Source organism: Homo sapiens, chromosome 11 (assembly GCF_000001405.40).
Source record: "Homo sapiens chromosome 11, GRCh38.p14 Primary Assembly".
Taxonomy (NCBI): Eukaryota; Metazoa; Chordata; class Mammalia; order Primates; family Hominidae; genus Homo; species Homo sapiens.
In genome coordinates, this window is record NC_000011.10 from 66,035,329 (window position 1) to 66,052,307 (window position 16,979).

The 16,979-nt window shown below is 54.5% G+C and overlaps 1 protein-coding gene across 2 annotated transcripts, besides 5 other annotated features; it reads right to left on the bottom strand.

Annotated features, from left to right (window-relative positions):
* Window positions 1-5,436: 5,436 nt before the first annotated feature.
* On the bottom strand, window positions 5,437-13,833 carry GAL3ST3 (galactose-3-O-sulfotransferase 3). Of its 2 annotated transcripts, NM_033036.3 has the most exons (3): window positions 13,683-13,833; window positions 9,963-10,199; window positions 5,437-8,349 (listed from the first exon to the last, which is right to left on the bottom strand). In NM_033036.3, the coding sequence occupies exons 2-3, from the start codon at window positions 10,085-10,087 to the stop codon at window positions 7,179-7,181; spliced, it is 1,296 nt and encodes a 431-aa protein (NP_149025.1). In that variant the 5' UTR covers window positions 10,088-10,199; window positions 13,683-13,833; the 3' UTR covers window positions 5,437-7,178. The 2 variants fall into 2 exon arrangements, with proteins under 2 accessions (NP_149025.1, XP_016874008.1); XM_017018519.2 differs by lacking the exon at window positions 13,683-13,833 and having other exon boundaries at window positions 6,624-8,589; window positions 9,963-10,043.
* Window positions 9,955-10,004: a silencer, noted in NCBI's record as "silent region_3570". NCBI's record gives its function as "represses an Ori minimal core promoter by ATAC-STARR-seq in GM12878 lymphoblastoid cells {active_cell/tissue: GM12878}" and the evidence as "EXISTENCE:reporter gene assay evidence [ECO:0000049][PMID:35858748]".
* Window positions 10,115-10,314: an enhancer, noted in NCBI's record as "active region_5026". NCBI's record gives its function as "activates an Ori minimal core promoter by ATAC-STARR-seq in GM12878 lymphoblastoid cells {active_cell/tissue: GM12878}" and the evidence as "EXISTENCE:reporter gene assay evidence [ECO:0000049][PMID:35858748]".
* Window positions 16,034-16,585: an enhancer, noted in NCBI's record as "H3K27ac hESC enhancer chr11:65818833-65819384 (GRCh37/hg19 assembly coordinates)". NCBI's record gives its function as "activates a minimal SCP1, AML or CMV promoter by ChIP-STARR-seq in primed H9 embryonic stem cells {active_cell/tissue: H9 hESC(primed)}" and the evidence as "EXISTENCE:reporter gene assay evidence [ECO:0000049][PMID:30033119]".
* Window positions 16,404-16,453: an enhancer, noted in NCBI's record as "active region_5027". NCBI's record gives its function as "activates an Ori minimal core promoter by ATAC-STARR-seq in GM12878 lymphoblastoid cells {active_cell/tissue: GM12878}" and the evidence as "EXISTENCE:reporter gene assay evidence [ECO:0000049][PMID:35858748]".
* Window positions 16,654-16,863: a silencer, noted in NCBI's record as "silent region_3571". NCBI's record gives its function as "represses an Ori minimal core promoter by ATAC-STARR-seq in GM12878 lymphoblastoid cells {active_cell/tissue: GM12878}" and the evidence as "EXISTENCE:reporter gene assay evidence [ECO:0000049][PMID:35858748]".

The following is a 16,979-nucleotide window of genomic DNA, read 5'->3' on the forward strand; positions in this document are numbered from 1 at the left end:
GGGAGCCACATTCCCTCTCTAGTTCTCAGTCTTCCCATTTGTTTTTGTTTGTTTGTTTGTTTGTTTGTTTGTTTTTTTGCTTTTTGTTTTTCTTATTGAGATGGAGTCTCACTCTGTTGCCCAGGCTGGAGTGCACTGGAGTGCAGTGGCGTGATCTCACCTCACTGCAACCTCTGCCTCCCAGGTTCAAACAATCCTGCCCCAGCCTTGCGAATAGCTGGGATTACAGGCACGCACCACCATGCCCAGCTAACTTTTGTATTTTTAGTAGCAACAGGGTTTCACCACGTTGGCCAGGCTGGTCTCAAACTCCTGACTTGAAGTGATCCACCTGCCTCGGCCTCCCAAAGTTCTGGGATTACAGGCGTGAGCCACCATGCCCGGGCTGAGTCTTCCCATTTGTAATGGAGTATGAGAGCCTGACTCCTTCGCCCTCTGTTGCGTTGTAGCAATCCCATGAGATTGGGATGAAGGTGGAGGATGGGGGTGGCAGAGGGTGATCCTGTCCTGTCCTTTGCCCACTGGAGGGCACCAGGGAAACTCTTGCTGGGGAGAAGAGGATTGGCTGGCAGGGATCCTCAGATTTCTGTAGCCCTGCTGGGCCAGAGGAGCTAATCTAGAATCTATGAGGTTGAGAGAGGGGCTCCCCTTCCTCTTCTCCATGCCCTTCTCTGGCTGGGACTGACTGTCTAGCCCCTTTCTTCAGGCACCTCTGCCCCACAGCCCCTCTGCACGCCTCTGGCCCATTCTGGGAAGCTGCCCGGTTGTGTTGGCAGAGCACCAGCTTCTCTCTCTTTGCCTCACCTCACCTTGGGCTCCCAAAGAACTTGGGCTCTCTGCCTCTCCCTCCCACTCAAACCTGCTCCCAGGAGGCTTTTATAATGAGGCTGTTTAATAAGGAGCCTGCAGGGATGGCTGGGAGGGTGTTTCACGGGGTCGGGTAATGTATTATGGTGGGAGGACCTGGGCTTTGGAGCCTGAGCAGTCTGGTTTCTGTCCTAGCTCAGCTTCTCCCGGCTGTATGAGCCTGGGCACTTCAACTTTTTGTATCTCAGTTTCCTCTTCTACAAGAGGGGATATAGCTGGGTGTTTAGTGGTACCTGCCTATAATCCCAGCTACTCAGGAGTCTGAGGGAGGATTGCTTGAGCCTGGGAGTTTACGGCTGCAGTGAGTCACGATTGCACCACTGCCCCCTCCGAGTAGCTGAGACTTGTGTGACAAGTGAGACCCTGTCTCTAAAATAAATAAAAGAGGGAGAGAAGAGTAACAGCTACCTCTTAGGGTGTTGTAAAAATCAAGTAAGTTGGCTGGGCCTGGTGGCTCATGCCTGTAATCCCAGCACTTTGAGGGTCCAAGGCAGGTGGATCGCTTGAGGCCAGGAGTTTGAGACCAGCCTGGCCAATATGGTGAAACCCTGTGTCCATTAAAAATGCAAAAATTAGCCAGGTGTGGTGGTGGGTGCCTGTAATCCCAGCTATTCGGGAGGCTCAGGCAGGAGAATCACTTGAACCTGAGCGGCAGAAGTTGCAGTGAGCCGAGATCATGCCACTGTACTCCAACCTGGGCGATAGAGCGCAACTCCATCTCAAAAAAAAAAAAAAAATCGAGTAAGTTAAAATACATAAAGTGTAGAGAAGAGCACCTAGCACAGGGGTCCCCAACCCCCAGGCCATGGACGTTACCACCTGAGCTCTGCCTCCTGTCAGATCACCATTAGATTCTCTTAGGAGTGTGAACCCCCTATTGTGAACTGCATGTGCGGGGGATTTAGGTTGTGCACTCCTTATGAAAATCTAATGCCTGATGATCTGAGGTGGAACAGTTTCATCCCAAAACCATCCCCCTTAACCCCTCACACCACGGACAAATTCTCTTCCACAAAGCCAGTCCCTGGTGCCAAAAACATTGGGGACCACTGACCTAGCATATAGTAAGTGATATGGTTTGGCTGTGTGTCCCCCCCACCCGCCCAGATCTCATGTTGAAATGTGATCTCCAGTGCTGGAGGTGGGGCCTGGTGGGAGATGTTTGGATCATGGGGTAGATCCCTCATTAATGGCTTGGTGCCATCCCCTTGGTGATCGGCGAGTTCTTGCTCTGAGTTCACAGTGATCTGGTTGTTTGAAAGTGTGTGGCACCTCCCCTCAGAGGGCATTGACCTTGTTCCTGCTTCTGGCATGTGATATGCTTGCTTCCACTTCACCTTTCACACAATTGTAAGCTTACTGAGGCCTCCTCAGAAGCCGAGCAGATGTCAGCACCATGCCTGTACAGCCTGCAGAACTGGGAGCCAATCAAAACTATTTTCTTTTCTTTTCTTTTTCTTTTCCACTTTGTAGCCCAGGCTGGAGTGCAGTGGCTGATCTCAGCTCACTGCAAGCTCCACCTCCTGGGTTCACGGCATTCTCCTGCCTCAGCCTCCCGAGTAGCTGGGACTACAGGTGCCTGCCACCATGCCTGGCTAATTTTTTTGTATTTTTAATAGAGACGGGGTTTCACTGTGTTAGCCAGGATGGTCTTGATCTCCTGACCTCGTGATCCACCCGCCTCAGCCTCCCAAAGTGCTGGGATTACAGGCATGAGCCACTGTGCCCAGCCCCAATCAAACCTGTTTTCTTTAATTACCCAGACTCACGTATTTCTTCATAGCAATGCAAAAACAGCCTAATAGAGTAAGTGCTCAGTAAAAGTTAGTAGCATTGTTCTTATTAACGTGCCTTCTCTCAGTGGCATTTGCAGCTTTTATTTTTGGATGGAGTCTCTCTCTGTCACCCAGGCTGGAGTGCAGTGGCACAATCTCGGCTGTCTGCAACCTCTGCTTCCTGGGTTCAAGGCATTCTCCTGCCTTAGCCTCCTGAGTAGCTGGGATTACAGGCATGCACAACCACACCCAGCTAATTTTGTATTTTAGTAGAGATGGGGTTTCACCATGTTGGCCAGGCTGGTCTCAAATTCCTGATTTCAAGTGATCCACCCCCACTTGGCCTCCCAAAGTGCTGGGATTACAGGCATGAGCCACTGCACCTGGCCATGCAGCTTGTTACTAAAGGCCTTTCTCCTGCTTACCTCAGTGGCTCCCCATCACCAACCAGAGAGCTGTCCTTACATGCCACGGCTGCAGATGGACAGAGACAGTGACTTCCTCAGCTCTGGGGACAGCCTGGCCTCCCCTGCTGGTCATCTCTGGACATTCCACTTATGCCAGCATCCCAGGCAAAACAATCCCAAGTTTTAGAAAAATTATTTTAAAATCTCCTCCTGATTTGGCCCAGCAAATGAGACTGACTGACACTGTATGGCCTTTTGAATCATTCTCAGAGGAATTCAGCTGGGATCAGGAGAAATGGATAAATGTTTTTTGAGAGAACAGATGGCATCTGGGGCAAGAGCGCACCCCCACCCAAAGAAAAAAAGTGTCTTAAATGTTCGTTGTTCCTTTTTTTTTTTTTGCCTCAAAAGTCACATTTATTCAAAGAAAAGAATGACAAGGCTGAGTGCAGTGGCTCACACCTGTAATCCTAGCAATTTGGGAGGCTGAGGCGGGAGGATCACTTGAGTCCAGGAGTTTGAGACCAGCCTGAGCAACATACTGAGAACCCTGTCTCTACAAAAAAGAGTAAATAATTAGCTGGGTATGGTGGCATGAGCCTATAGTCCCAGCTACTTGGGAGGCTGAGATGGGAGGATCACTTGAGTTCGAGGCTGCCGTGAGCTATGATCATGCCACTGCACTCCAGCCTGGGCAACACAGTGAGACCCTGTCTCAAAAAAAAAAAAAAAATCAAGGCTGCTCATAGCCCATACCATGGCTGTGGGGAAAGTAGAAGAAATCACCCCTTCCTCAAAATGCTTTCTTCCATCTGCTGAAAAACTCTTGTAATAGATGTGTCAAACTATAGCATCTGTAACATGAAAGGTGTTGACCCTGGAGGAGTCCTGATGAAACCAGAGATGCCATCTTGGGAGAGCCTCTGTGTGCCAGGCCCTGTACTAGGGGCCTGCTTATTTCACAGGTGAGGAAAGTGAGGCTCAAAGGCTAAGTTCAAAGTATGTAACTGGTAGATGGCAGAGCCAGGGTTTGAACTCCAGAGCCCCAGTGTTTAATCATTAGGCAAGATCATCCCCATCGAGTCACCGTTGGCCAGGTTTACTGCCTCCACATCGTCTCTAGACCTTAGGGTAAGCTCCTCAAGGCAGGGACCACTTTTCACTCACTGCCAAAGCTCTGGCACTGTTCGGAGTAGGCACAGAGGTAGGCAGCACCAAGTGTTTGTTGGTGGAAGGAGCCTCTTTGCAGGAGTCCTAGGGGCTGAGGCCTGTTCCCCTGGCTTGTGGCTGAAGCTGGAGATGTTCCCACCAAAGAGTTCCAGAGCCCCTGCTCAGCTTTAGGATTTGCCCTTGCCCCTGAGTCAAACAGAGCACCCTCTCCTAGTGCCTGATGATTCCATTTGCCCCTGATTCCAGATTTTTCTGAGGCCAGAGTTGTGCTCTCTGCTGAAGCAGGGCAAGGTTTTTAAAGGAGGGCCCGCCTGCCTGAGGGCCAGGGAGGCCAGGGGAGGCCTATTGCAGTGGTTTGGCTGTTTGTCCCTTAAACCTCATGTTGACATTTGATCCCCAATGTTGGAGGTGGGCCTAATTGGGGGAGGTGTTTGGCTCATGGGTATGGATTCCTCATGAAAAGATTAATGCCCTTCCTGGGGGATAAGTGAGTTTTTTCACTCTTAGTTCCAAGAGCTGGTTGTTAAAAAGACCTGGCACCTCCTCTGACCCCCTTGCTTCCTCTCTCACCCTGTGGTCTCTGCATACTTGGGCTCCCGAGCGGAAGCAGCCTGAGACCCTCGCCAGATACAGATACCAATCCTGAACTTTCTAGTCATCAGGATTGAGTCAAATAAACCTTTTTCTTTACCCAGCCTCAGTCACTCCTTTATGGCAACACATAATGAACTAGGACACTTATCAAAGTAGACTTGGCCGGGCATGGTGGCTCACGCCTGTAATCCCAGCACTTTAGGAGGCCAAGGTGGGCAGATCACCTGAGGTCAGGAGTTTGAGACCAGCCTGTCCAACATGGCCAATCCCCGTCTCTACTAAAAATACAAAAATTAGCCAGGCGTGGTGGTAGACACCTGTAATCCCAGCTACTTAGGAGGCTGAGGCAGGAGAATCACTTGAACCCAGGAGGTGGAGGTTGCAGTGAGCCGAGATTGCACCACTGCACTCCAGACTGGGTGACAGAGTGAGACTGTCTAGAAAAAAAAAAAGTAGACTTAAAGGCACGTCTGAATTTTCCAGGCCAACTGAGGGCAAGGTGAAGGATTTTCCTGGCAGAGGTATGACCAGAGGCTAGGGCTGGGGGTGCAGATGGAGACAATGGCAAGCACCTTATTGGCTGGGGGCCAGAGGACACCTGTTTTTGGATAGATCACTTTGAGTCTGGTACAATTCTTTACTGCTGCTTAATGTCAGAAACTTAATTATGCTTTTGCATGATTCTAATTATTGCCTTTTTCAGAGCTCTGCTGGTAAAAAGTGGGGTGCCATACAAACAGTCCCTTTTCAAGCCCAGCGTGTCATGCATCCTGCCAATCAATCACTGTAATGTCCATTGTCCAAACAGGTCAACCGTTGTCTCCATGAAAAACTGGATAAAGAGTTGCTGATAGCAGTGTCCTGGTTCTTCCCTTTACATTCTTTTGGGGGAAGGTGCTGGGAATCAGCCTAGCTTGTGGCATGTGACCTTTTTTATTTGAATGGCACTACAGACAGCACTTGTGAGCACAAACTCTGAAGCCACACTGCCTTGGTTGAGATCCTAGTGGCCACTTTCTGGCTGTGTGACCCTGACTTAATTTCCCCCAAGTTTCAGTTCCCTCACCTGGAAAACGGCACCCATCTCCAAAGTTAACATACATAAAGCCCTTAAACAGTGGCTGGCACACCGTAGACCATAATAGCTATTGTTTTTTATCACTTGTCCAGATACGTCGATATAGCTCTGAAGAAAGTAACAGAAAAAGTTCCAATTCTCTGCTAGTCTTAAGGGAGATTTCACCTGGAAGTGCTGGCTATCTTGCTGTGTTAAAGGAAACTGCAGAAAGGGACTGGTCTTCATCTGAGTCCAAGTTGTCTTCTTGTGAGGAAAGCAGGCCATTAGTGAAGTCAGTGATTCACAGGAGGAGGTCAAATTCTGAGTTAGGCAGCTCCTTATCTGAAAATGATCCTCCTTCCACCCAAAGAGGTGTTGTGCTCTAACCCCTCCAGTCCTTCCTCTTTGCTTACCTGTCTTGCTCCTGTTCCAATGTTTCCCCATAAGCTCCATGAAAATAAGGCCCTATCTATCTGGTTCACCTGTATCCCCAAGTTACAGAGATGATGCTCAGTAAATGTCGCAGAATTTTGTGAAAAAGAACGATGTGGAAAGTGAGTGGGGCTAAGGTGGCCAGTCTGTGTTGGGGGCCCAGTCGGTCAAGCGGTTGAGGAGGGTTGTAGGCCTATGCCAGGTGGCGGGGGACCTTGAGTCCAGGCCCCCATCCTCATGGGTCCAGCCACAGCTCCTCCTGGGCATCCGTTTCATCCTCAAATGTGGGGAATCCGGCTTCTATGACTGACATACAACTCGCACATTTTAAAGATGTTTTATTAAAAAAAAGAAAAACCAACCAAACAAAAATCCCAACCCAAGAACTCTTGGTTCTGGGAGACTGGGAGCAGCTTAGGTCTGTGGGGAGGGTAGAACCTGGAAGACAGAAAAGTATAGGGAGCCTCAAGCCCTGGGAGGGAGAGCAAGAGCAGCCTTTCCCTAGGGCTGAGCCTCTCTCCATGGGGCCTGGGCTTATCCACTTGGAAAAGACAGGTTGTGGGGGCTCAGCCCCCAGAAAAAGGCAGGGTGAGCAGTTCTGGACAGCCCTCAGGCCTCTTGTCAAAATCACCAACCAGCTGGGAAGGAGAGGGTGGCCCAGCGCTGGATCCAGCCTATCAGCGCCGTGCCCGAAGGCAAGGTTCAGCCCACGATCGGGAGCGGGGGCTCAGATAGGGAGGCGTACCCCAAAGTTCAGCGAGGGACTCAAGCCCCTTGAAAAGAAAGGGCTCTCATGGGGGCAGGACATGGAGGCAGCCCCTGGCTGGACTCCTGGGAGGGCAGGGCAGGACCCATACTCCTGGAGGCCTGCGGAGCTCAGGGACCTTGAGGGCCGCGAGGCAGCACTCGGATGGGCCGAGGCGGGGGATTGTCCAGGACGGGCTCGGGCCGAGCCCGCGCACCGCCCCGGCGCTTCTGCTTGCGCAACAGGTAGTTCGAGTACTGGACCTCGGGCATGGCCAGCTTGAGGCAGGCCTCGGTGGCCGGGCCGGCGCCGCCGCCGGGCAGGTCATAGCCCATAATGTCCACCTTGCGGCTGGGCTGCCACGGCTGCAGCTGCTTGGTGCGGATCTGCGCGGCAGGCCGCAGCAGTGGCTCGTCCCCGAAGCAGCGCCGCAGTAGGCGCTGGCGGGCCTCGCGCAGCTCGCGCGCCTCGCGCTCCACGCACGCGCGGCCCGCGCGCGCCACGTGGCGCCAGAAGGTGGCGTTGAAGTGGTCGTAGAGGCCGGCGTCCAGGGCGTTCCAGGTGCGCGCCGCCCGCGCCAGCGCCGCGGGGATGGCGGCCAGGCGCGAGCTGGCGGCGCGCGCGTTGAGCTTGGCGTAGAGCACGTCGTCCAGGTCCCAGGCCAGTAGGCGCCGCAGCAGCACTAGCGACTCGTCGAAGTACTCGGCGATCATGACGAGCGAGAAAACCTCCTCCACCTGGCGGATGAGGCCCGCCAGGTAGGCGGCGTCGTCGCGCGGGCTGCGCTCATTGTCGCCGCCCAGGTCGTAGGCCAGCGTGTTGTGTGCGAACATGGCGAAGTGCTCGCCAGCGCGGTAGTATGCCTCGGGCGCGCGCAGGAAGGCCTCGAGCGAGGCGTTGGGTACGCGCCGGAAGGCCGGGCAGTACTGGTTGTAGTAGCTGAAGAGCGACTCGAACATGGCGGCCGGCTCGCGCAGGATGGTGACATAGACGGTGCTGGGCGGCATGAGGCGCTCCAGCTCCGCACGGTCGAAGCGCAGGTGGCTGGCCAGCACGTGCGGCGGCCGCGTGGCCGGGTGCACGAAGTGCGCCGAGAAGTTGCGGGGGTAGCAGAACTGGTGCTCGCAGCTCGGGTGCGGCAGGGCCACCGTCAGGTTGTGGCGCTCGGCAAAGCGAAACAGGATGTTCTGCACCGTCGTGCCTGCCGTCTTGTGAGTCTTCAGGAAGGCCACAGTCATGTGCTTGGGGCGCGGCGGCGAGTTCCGCAGAGGAGGGCAGCTCAAGGGGAACAGCTTGGGGTACCTGCCAGGCCCAGGGAGTGTGCGGAGAGGAGGGTGTGAGGGGGCTGCCGCTTGACCCCTGCCCTTACCCAAGGACTGTGGGATGCCCCACAGCGCGGCCCCGCCTGGGCTGCACTCATGGAAAGGTCGAGGGCGGTGCTTGGTAGCCTCTAAGATGCCCTCTATGATCCCTGCTGCCCTCCTGGTATTCATGCCCTTGAGTATTCCCCTCACCTGAGTTAGGCTGGACTTATCATTGCATCTAAAGAAGAGAAGAGGGCAGAAATGATGGGATGTCACTTCTTAAATTTCATCATAGAAAGACTGTGGCTGGCTAGTATCTTGGTGTCTTTCACTCAATCTGGGATGACAGATGATGGGGGAAGCAAGCTGCCATATAGTGGGCAGCCCTATAGGGAGCTACCACTAAGTGGGAAAAGCCCACAAGGACCTAAGGCCCTCAGTCCACCAGCCGGCTTGAAGACCTGAAGCCTGTCAAAACCACGTGAGTGAGCTTGGAAGCTGATCCCTTCCAATCAAGCCTTCGGATGAGACTGCATCACCAGCAAACACCTTGGTTGCAACCCCATGAAAGACCTTGGTCCAGAAGTTCCCAGTAAGCCACACCTGGCTTCCTGACCCAAAATAACAGATGTTTGTGTTTTCAGCTGCTAAGCTTTAAGATAATTTGTTTATGTAGAAATAAATAAGGGACAAAGACCCCTGGAGATCTTTGAGGAATCCCACTTTGTATATGTAGAAACTGAGGGCCAAAAGGAGAACAATCACTTACACAAAGTCTGGAGACGACTCACATGGTCACTAAATCCTTTTGCTCTTTCTCATTTTTACTCTTTAACTGGCTCCTCACTTTGTAGATGGTTGGCACTGGGCTTTGCAGCAACCCATTGTTATGTTTCTCTTGAGGCTTCTAAAGCCTCATTAATTCAGTCATCAAATATTTTTTGGGTGTCCACTATGTGCCAGGTTAATGCTAGGTTCAAGAAATACAGTAATATACAAAAACAATCCTAGCCCTCGTGAAGCTTTCATTTCTGTTGCTTCATTCTTAAAACATGGGTGTTTGGGATTTCAAACCAAATTATCTGGCAAGGGGGGCTGGGCGCATTCACACCATTCTCAGGGGCAGACAGTGTAGAAAATGGGGACATGAAGTCTCCGAGAGGTGCAGGGATTTGTTGGGTTCACACAGTGAGTCAGGAGTAGGGTTGGGGTTCCCATGAATCACATGGTATCCTGTGTGAGGGTGACTGGCTGTGTCACACATATCATGTCTCACTTTATAGATGAGAAAACGGGGGCTCGGAGAAGTGAGGGGACTTGGCCTTGCCCAGCACTACGGAAGTTGTGAGAAGTTGTTTCCACTGGGGAAATGCTTAGCTGCATGCTGTGGGGAGTTGAGCTGGATTCGGATCTCAGCTAACTGATTCTGTAACTTTGAGCAAGTCACTCAGCCCTTTCATTGAAGAGCAGTCCCTGTCCAGGGAGGCTGTGTGGCCCTAAAGGGAAAGCACTTTCAGAATAGAGGGGAGGAGCAAAGCCTAGCAGGACCCTTCTAGCAGGTGGAAGAATGGGGAGGGGAGCTCCGGCCCCCCTGGGGCCCCGCCCCCTTACCAGCTGAGCTGCGCCCCCTGGTGGATGAGAAGGCTTACGGTGCTGCACCCTAGCACCAGCAGCAGGATTTTCCGGCGGCTCATCATCTTGGTGGCCTGCTGCAGGCGCTGGAGGATGGGTGGCATGGCGGAGTACCCACCCCTGGACCAGCCAGGGCCTCACTATCCAGGACTCCCTTCACAGGCACTCATGGGGGATCCTGCGGCTCTGGTAGCAGGGCCAGTGTTCCCGAGAAGCCTGGCAGAAGAAGGCAGACGGGTTTGCAGTGGGCAGAGGAGATGGGATCTGGCCCCCAGCAGGTCTGATGCAAAGAGCTCCAACAGGTGGGGTAAGCAGAGAGGCCAGGGCAGATCGGATTCCTACCTCCCGTTATCAAGACCCTATCTCCTCACTGCTCCAGATAACTTAGTCTTGGGTGGAATTACAGGGTCTGGGGTGTAGCCAGCCCTTCAGGCTGTAGCCACTCCCATCCCTCAGCCCTGTCTCTGTCTCTCTGCCTGCTCCTAACTCGTCTTTGTCTCATGGTTATTTGTACATGTCTCCCCAGTGGAGTGGCTTTAGCGCCAGGGCTTGGCTCAGAACATAGAGGTCTCAACTCAAAGTTTCCTCTCCTCCAGGACTCCTTGCCCAATTGCTTTAGCCCAGGGTTGGTCCTGACTCCCCAGAGAAACCGAGCTCCTCGGAAACACTGATCAGGCCTTCACCTCCTTGGATCGATATGGCTTTGAGTCGATACTGCAGGCTTACTCTATGTACTGTATTATTACATACTTAATCCCATTTAGTCCTCACCACAGCCCTGACCTAGGTATTATTCCCACTGTATAGATAAGGAAACTGAGGCTCTAAGAGATTATATCACTTGTCCATAGCTACACAGCTGGTAACAGTAGAAATGAGATTCATACCTGCTGTTTCTGGCTCCAAAGTCCATGCCCTTAGACACTGTATATGCTATTTCTGTAGAGAACTGGTTTCCCCAACCTTGCCCTAGACTCTGGCAATTCTGCATCCTTCTGAGTCCTGAGCGCTCCTAGCTGGGCTCCTGCCCTGAGGGCCCAAGACTGAGAAATTCATGAGGGAAAGGAAGGTCTTGAAATCCTGGAGCCCTATCTGGATTCCATCCCCAGACACCTGAAACCCAGGCGGCCCCATCAGCTGACTCTGCAGGGAAAAGTGCCTGACCAAAGCAATGAGATGGCAGCCTGGGCGGGGTGTGGGTTGGGTAAGAGGTGGCTCCTGCTTGTTGCCCTACGGAGGATCTCCAGGAGAAGGTGAGCTTCCATCCCAGGTAAGCCCAGGAGTAAGAGAGGGGAGGAGGGCTTGGTCACACACAAGTCTCCTTTCCCCACAGGAATGCCTTGGCTTAAGGGCAGCCCAATCCTGGGCAGCTCCCGTGGAAAGTCCACTTCAGCAGTGATGCCTGTCCCCAAGCTAGGGTGGGGCCTCAGTCTCCAGGTTCAAGTTTAGCTTCAGCCCTCACACATATCCTTCTCCACGGGGGAGGGGGAGCCTGGAACCTGATGGGCATGTGCATGTGGAACTAGGACACCTGGGTCCCAGGAGGGGTAAGGTAATATGAAAACCCTTTTGATCATCACCTTTTCTGGGAGCCCTGGGCTTGGCTTCCAGTCTCTCTTCTTGACCCTGCTCCCTTAATCCTGGATTACATTTAAACCTGTTTGGGTGGAAAGATGTTCTGTTTATGCCTCCCCTTCTCTCTAGGCCTTATCGCTGCTTCCCTCCACCTGCCTGCAGACAGACTTAATCCGGCCGGAGCCAAGGGTAAAGGGTCCAGCCACAGAGGGTAACCAAGGGCACAGCAGAGGAAGTCTAAGGCCCTCCCTGTCTCTTCAAGGATTGCTGGGGCAGAGAAGGGCTGGCCTGGCCTGGCTGGGGCTGCTTGCAGGAGGAAGTGAGAGCCCTTGGCCCTCTAAGGATACACACCTTTTTCCTCTGTCACTCCTGCTGCTTAGAGAACTTGGTGATTAGACAGAAGTGTCCCAAGATGGGAAGAGGGGAGTCTACATCCACCTTTGCTAAACTTGCAGAAACCACCCTATTTCTCAGAGGATTCAGGGTCAGCCAAGGAAGTCAAGCCTAGCTATGGGGGACCTTTCCCGAGGGCAGAGCTTCTACTGGCCGCACAGAGAGAGTGACAGGTGCCTGGTATCCCCCTCTGTCCCACTCTTGGGCCTTTCCCCACTTCCCTACATGGCTGAGCTCTGGGGAGCTAGCCAGGCCCCAGTCTGAGGCCTGCTTAGGGACAGGGGACAGGGCATCCTCAGTGCAGGAATTCCCTGGACACCAGCCCCTGAAGGCGGGCACCAGCTTCTGTATGGCCACTGTCAATGACAGGGTGTTCATCACCTCCTGATACAGCCTGGTCCATTTCTGAGCAACTTACAGCTTGTTCAGGTTCTTTCCGGGACAGCCAGGATTACCCTGCCAGTGGTAGCACCTGCTTCGGCCTGCCCCTTACACCTCCCATTCTGCACTCTTGGTAGTGCTGCCCTCCTAGAGCACATAGAACATTTTTCTCCATGACAGACCTTCAGGTATTTGGAAGCAGTAACCCTGTCTCCTCTGGGTGGGCACTCGGCCAGGCTAAACATTCCAGGTCCTGAGAGAGGGTGCTGCTCGGACACTGTGGGAGGCCTGCCTTCCCTTGGCAATTTGACTCCAAGATGCCTGTTTTGGAGATGGGGCCAAGGCAGTGCCTCTCAGGGAGGGGGCCACTGGGCTGGGTTTCCATCGGATTTTCTGGCTGGTGTGGGGTGCATGATGGTGCTGCTGGAGCTGTGCTTTAGAGCAGTGGCCCTGGCTCCTGCCCTCAGATGCTTCACACGACTCCCCATTGTGCCTGGTGTCTTCTCCATAGAGAGAGTTCTCCCAGCTATCCCAGGCAGGTCAGGACGCCCAGGCTCATCAGAATGTCAGTGCTAATTTTAGTCAGAACAATCTACCTCACGCTGCTGCCCAGTTTTGCAAATTGCTAGCTTTTCTCCAGGGAACCAAAGAAATAGTAGAGCCGACCAAAGCTTTGAAAATGGGCCGGGGTGCCCACCCTCCTAAAGGAGCCCTTTCTCCTCTGTCTCCTCTGAGCTCTAGAGCTGAAACCGATGCACTTAGAGGAAGGGGTGCCCTGGACTGGACCACTTGGACCTGACTGCTGGATGGCCCGGAGACTCCATCCTGTCCTGACTTGAGGGATGGGACAGCCCAGTGTTGAGGGACGCTGACCCAGGGTGCTCCAGAGGAGGGGCGAAGGGCTGAGGGGGTCTGCAAAGTACTGGCCTGGGAGAGCAAATCTTTCCACCTCCCTCTTTTTCCTCCTCCCCCACCCCCCAGCCTGCACCAGGTCTGCCCCTGGCCCCCCAGCCTCCTCTCTCTCTCATCCACCCCCGCATCATCCCTGCCTTGGAATTCCCTCCATCCTCCTGTCTCCATTACTGCCCACCCGCACCATACCTCCCACTCCCTCAATTTCATCCCAGCATCCCCCAGGGATCCTGCCAGTGGGATCTGATCACCATAGGGGATAGGCCAGATTGGCCCGCTCACCCTATCTTCTCCCACTTTCCAGGGGTAGAGCGCCCCCCTCCTCATGCTTTCCAACCACTAGGCCCCCAAGACACTCTCCCGCCCGCCTCTCGGCCCCCATCCCGGTCTGGTCCACTCCCACCCCTCCAACCCCATGCCGGCCACTGCAGTACTCACACCGCACGCCTGGGCTCTGCCTCTGGCCCGGGTTGGGGGCGGCCGCCGCTATCTCTGGACCCTTGTCTCGAAATCCGCACGGGGTCCGAGGGTGCCCGGGGCCCTGCGCGCCGAGTGCCGGTGGCTTGCCTCTCAGCGCCTGGATGGGATCAGGTGGCAGCGTCCGCTAGGCTCGCTCCTCCCGGCTCTGCCCGCCCCCCGCCCCCCGCCCCCCATCGCACACCGGAGGAAGGCGAGGGGCGGGGCCAGGCCACGAGCAAGTAGGGGAGAGGGGAGAGAGGGGAAAGGAAGGGGGACGGGGGAGGGGGGGTGGTTCCCTGGCTTGCCCGCTGGCTGCCGTGAACAGTCTCTGGGTGGCATCTTCAGATGCAGTTGTCTTACTCTGGCAACCTTGCAGAGTTGGACACTAATGTGGCCAGCTCCCTTCTCTCACTCAGGCAGGGAAACTGAGGCCGGGAAGGTGTCTGGATACTCCTGCATTGCTGGGTATTCTGGGGCACCGCCGGTCATACGTGGGCTTCTGGGTGAGCCAGATGCTGGTACACGTGCAGGTACTCACATCCTCTGTCCTCCTCCAGTAGAGAAGCAGTGCTCCAGCCTTGTCTGGTCCCATCTCTGCCCACATGCCCCCTTCCCTTCCAGCGTGTCCCCCATACCCTCTGATGTAGCTTCTGGCTGCTCACCCATTTTTCCTCACTAGGACTCCAGACCCACTCACTCCTGACCAGAGCTATAGTGAGGCTGGGACCCCTGCCTAGGCACCTGCCACCAGGCATCAAAGAACCCAAGTTCAATCCTGGTTTGCTCTTAAATCCCAGAGTCAAGAGGCAACTCCCTAAGCCCTATTGCTTCCAGCTGTAAAATGGGAAGCTGTTCTGAGGTAGCAGAGATAATACACACGAAGGCTCCATGTGAACTTCTTAGTCCTCAGCTCCCATCACCTGGGAGCTGGGCAGCAGCACCTCCCAAAGCCATGCCAGACATCAAGAGCCCTACACTGAGTTCTGTGGCTGGCCTGCACACCTGCTTTCTATTTTGCTCTGGGCCTGGTAAAGCAAGGATCCTGGAGCTGGGTAGCCACCCAAAGGTGGGACTGGAAGGGGCTGGATACGCCCTTCTAGGCCCACATAGGAAATAGTGTGAGGGTCCTTGTTATGGTTGAGGAGGAGGAAATAGGGACTCTCAGAGTCAGAAGGACTGCTGGTGGCCCCAGTTTGGCCTCTTGGGCATGTCACCTTCTCTGCCCATCAATCTTCCGCTGTGTACAATATCGTGGGGGAGGAGGATCTTGAGACCTTGCCTCCTTCCCAGGGCTGTTATAAAATGAGACTCCAGGCCGGGTGCAGTGGCTCACGCCTGTAATCCCAGCACTTTGGGAGGCTGAGGCGGGCGGATCACGAGGTCAGGAGATCGAGACCATCCTGGCTAACGCGGTGAAACCCCGTCTCTACTAAAAAAAATACAAATAAATTAGCTGGGCGTGGTGGCGGGCGCCTGTAGTCGCAGCTACTCGGGAGGCTGAGGCAGGAGAATGGCGTGAACCCAGGAGGCGGAGCTTGCAGTGAGCGCAGATAGAGCCACTGCACTCCAGCCTGGGCAACTGAGACTCTGTCTCAAAAAAAAAAAAAAATAAATAAATAAATAAAAAATAAATAAATAAAATGAGACTCCATCAGCCTTTAGTTTATCCTGCCTCAGAGACCCCGCCCCCTTCCCTAGCACCTACACATGCCTTGGGGCCCTCAGCCTCAGATGACCTGCCCTGGGCTCTCCAGTTACAGGGAGCAGAAGAGCCTTCCTTTGGGCTAGAAAGGTTCTGCCTGAGTGGGCTGACAAGCTGGAGGGAAGGGCGCTGTTTTTCTGTCTTCGTTACTGTCCTTTCCGGGTTTGGCTTCTCCTCTGGGAGTGTGGCTGCAGGAGCCTCCCATAGTGATATTGATGGAAAGGGGAAAGGTCAAGGTTTGGGTAGGAGGAAGAGGACTTCCCACCCAGTGCTAGGATGTGAGCCAACCTTTCTCAACCCAGTCCTTTTCCCTGTCTCTCCCAAACCTCACCTTCCCCCGACCTGGTGCCCCATTCTTTTTTTTTCCCTGTTCCCAGCTTCTTCTCCACTGGGGGCAGTTGGCAAAATGGAGCTGGAGAAAAGATCTGAAGGGGATGTGTAGGGGGAAAATGAGACCATTTCACTTGAGTCTCCCCACTCCCTTTCTCAACACACATAAAAAACACACACAGGCTAGCTGTTGGTGAGAGGGCAGAGCTAGTGGCAGAGGTGGGGAGAGAAACTGAATTGATGGTGTGGGACAGGGAGAGGTGGATGCTAGGCAGGCAAGAATCCCTGCCAGTCTCTGCCTCTGTCTCCAAAGGCCAAGGGGAGTTGGGGTGGGGAGTGGGAGGCAAGGTGGGGCCCCCAGTGCAGGTGCGGCTGAGGGAAAAGGGCCTGAGTTTATTTTTGAGACTAAAAAAGACACAAATGCTTTCACCAGAAACATTGTTCCTTTTTTTCCAGTAATCATTTATTGGGCGCCTCTTGAACGCCAGGCGATGCGAGACTGAAAATGATCAAGTCCCTGCTCACATTTTTGGGATAGAGGTAGGAAGAAAGGGCAAGAAAGACTTAACAAACGGTGGAGATTCGAACGTATTATGGGAGCTCTAAGAAAGGAAAGGAAAGCGGGAGGAGGCTTAGTGGAGAAGACGACATTTGAGCCGGCCTGGAAGGTGGAAAAGGGGGCTTTAGAGTCGCCCTTCCCCCAGGTCGGCAGCTGGAGCTCAGCCCGGGCAGGCCTGCTGCTCTCCCGGCTTGGATCCCCTTTCAGCCCATTCATCCGGGCCTGGGCCGGGGGTGGGCGGGCAGACAATCAGACACTGTTTTATCCCAGGCATCGGCTCCAGCCTCCCGCTTGGCGCCCGCAACGCGGGGCCGCCGGGGAAATGAGTCTCTCGGGACTCCCTGGGAGCGTAAGCGTTCGAGGATCTGACCGGAGGGCCGGGCCGGAAAGCTTGAGAGCCTTCGCTCCCGCAGGTGAGGCGCAGAAAACACTCCCTCGGGGAAGTGCCAGCCCTCCTCGCAGCCCCGCCCTCCGGCCCGCCGCCGGCCTTCGGGGCCGTAGCGGCGCGCAGGGCCCGCAGAGACCGAGACCTGCGCACTACAACTCCCAGGAGGCCTCGCGACCAGACCGCCGAGGGGCCACTAGAGAAAGGTGCGTCTGCGGCGAATCCCGTCGCCCAGCGCACGGCAGCGGGTGTGCCTGAGTGCGCGTCGCCTCCCAACCAGAGAGGACGTGGCATACGGCG

Bases quoted from the DNA above. Each gene is read 5' to 3' on its own strand.
- GAL3ST3 (XM_017018519.2), bottom strand. From the start codon at position 8,540: ATGAATACCAGGAGGGCAGCAGGGATCATAGAGGGCATCTTAGAGGCT.